Here is a 1,475-nt window from a genome sequence, read left to right as displayed (position 1 = left end):
ACTTGGAACCAACCCAAATGCCCATCAATCTATGTCTTCTTTTGAGAAATGTCTATTCAAATCTTTTGACTATTTTTTGATCAGGTAATCAGATTTTTTCCTATGGGGTTGTTTGAGCTCCTTATATATTCTGGTTATTTATCCATTGTCAGATGGGTAGTTTGCAAATATTTCCTCCCATTCTGTGGGTTTTCTCTTCATTTTGTTGATTGTATCCTTTGCTGTGCAGCTTTTACACTTGAGGTGATCTCATTTGTCCATTTTTGCTCTGATTGCCTGTGCTTGTGGAGTATTGCTCAATAAATCTTTGCTCAGACCAATGTCCTGTAGTGTTTCCCCAATGTTTTCTTGTAGTTTCACAGTTTGACATCCTAGATTTAAGTCTTTAATCCACTTTGATTTGATTTTTGTATGTGGCAAGAGATACGGGGTCTAGTTTCATTCTCTGCATATGGATATCCAGTTTTCCCAGTACCATTTATTGAAAAGACTGTCTTTTCCCCAGTAATGATTGTTAATTTTGTTAGGTGTGATGATGGTATGGTGGTGATATTTCTTAAAAATTAGTTTGCTACAGTTTTATTTTATTTTATATACACAAATATATAGTTTTATTATAATTCTGTTAGTTTTCTATAGTTTTGAAAATACCATAAATTTAGGAACTTGAAAAAATTCAAATTTATTATCTCCACTTTCTATGGATCAGGAATCTTGGCTGAGTTCTCTTATCAGGATCTTAAACTGCTGAAAACAAGGCAACATTAGGGGTTGCTACTCCTATCTGAGGATTAGGGTCCAATTTCATATAGGGTGTGGACAAAATTCAGTTCTCTATGCTTTTAGGACTGAAGTTCTCATTTTGTTACTTGCTGTTGACCAGAGCGACTCTCAGCTCCTAGAGGATTCATTCTTTGCCACTTGGCTCCCTCTATCTTCAAGCTATTCATAGTAATGGAGAATGTCTTGCATGTTGAATCCCCCTCATGTATTAAATCTCTGACTTCCTCTGTCTCTGACCTCTAGACTGAGATTTAAAGGGCTCATATGATTAGGCCAGGCCCACCCAGATTATCTTCCTATGTTAAGGTCAATTGATTGAGGTTCTTAATTACTTTTGCAAAATTCTTTAGAGCAGTGCCTACATTACTGTTTGACTGAATGACTGGGATAAAATGTGTGTACTCTAGGGTCCAGGAATCTAGGGGGACGATCTTGGAATTCTGCATAACACAAACCCTATCAGTTTAATAAATACTGACATATATAAGAATAGAAAGACATCATGCATAGGATTTTCATTAGACAACAAAAAATAGAGTGAAAAATAGATCCAATAAAATTGGCAAAATATTAAAAGTTGTCGAAATTGAATGATGGGTATTTGAGGGTTTATTTTACTATTTTACTGCTTTTCTTATTTTTGAAATTGTTCACTAAAAGTGTAAATAAATAATCTGTCCGTCAGCCTTAAT

This window comes from Homo sapiens, chromosome 3 (genome assembly GCF_000001405.40).
Source record: "Homo sapiens chromosome 3, GRCh38.p14 Primary Assembly".
Taxonomy (NCBI): domain Eukaryota; kingdom Metazoa; phylum Chordata; class Mammalia; order Primates; family Hominidae; genus Homo; species Homo sapiens.
Note: the sequence above shows the minus strand (reverse complement) of the source record.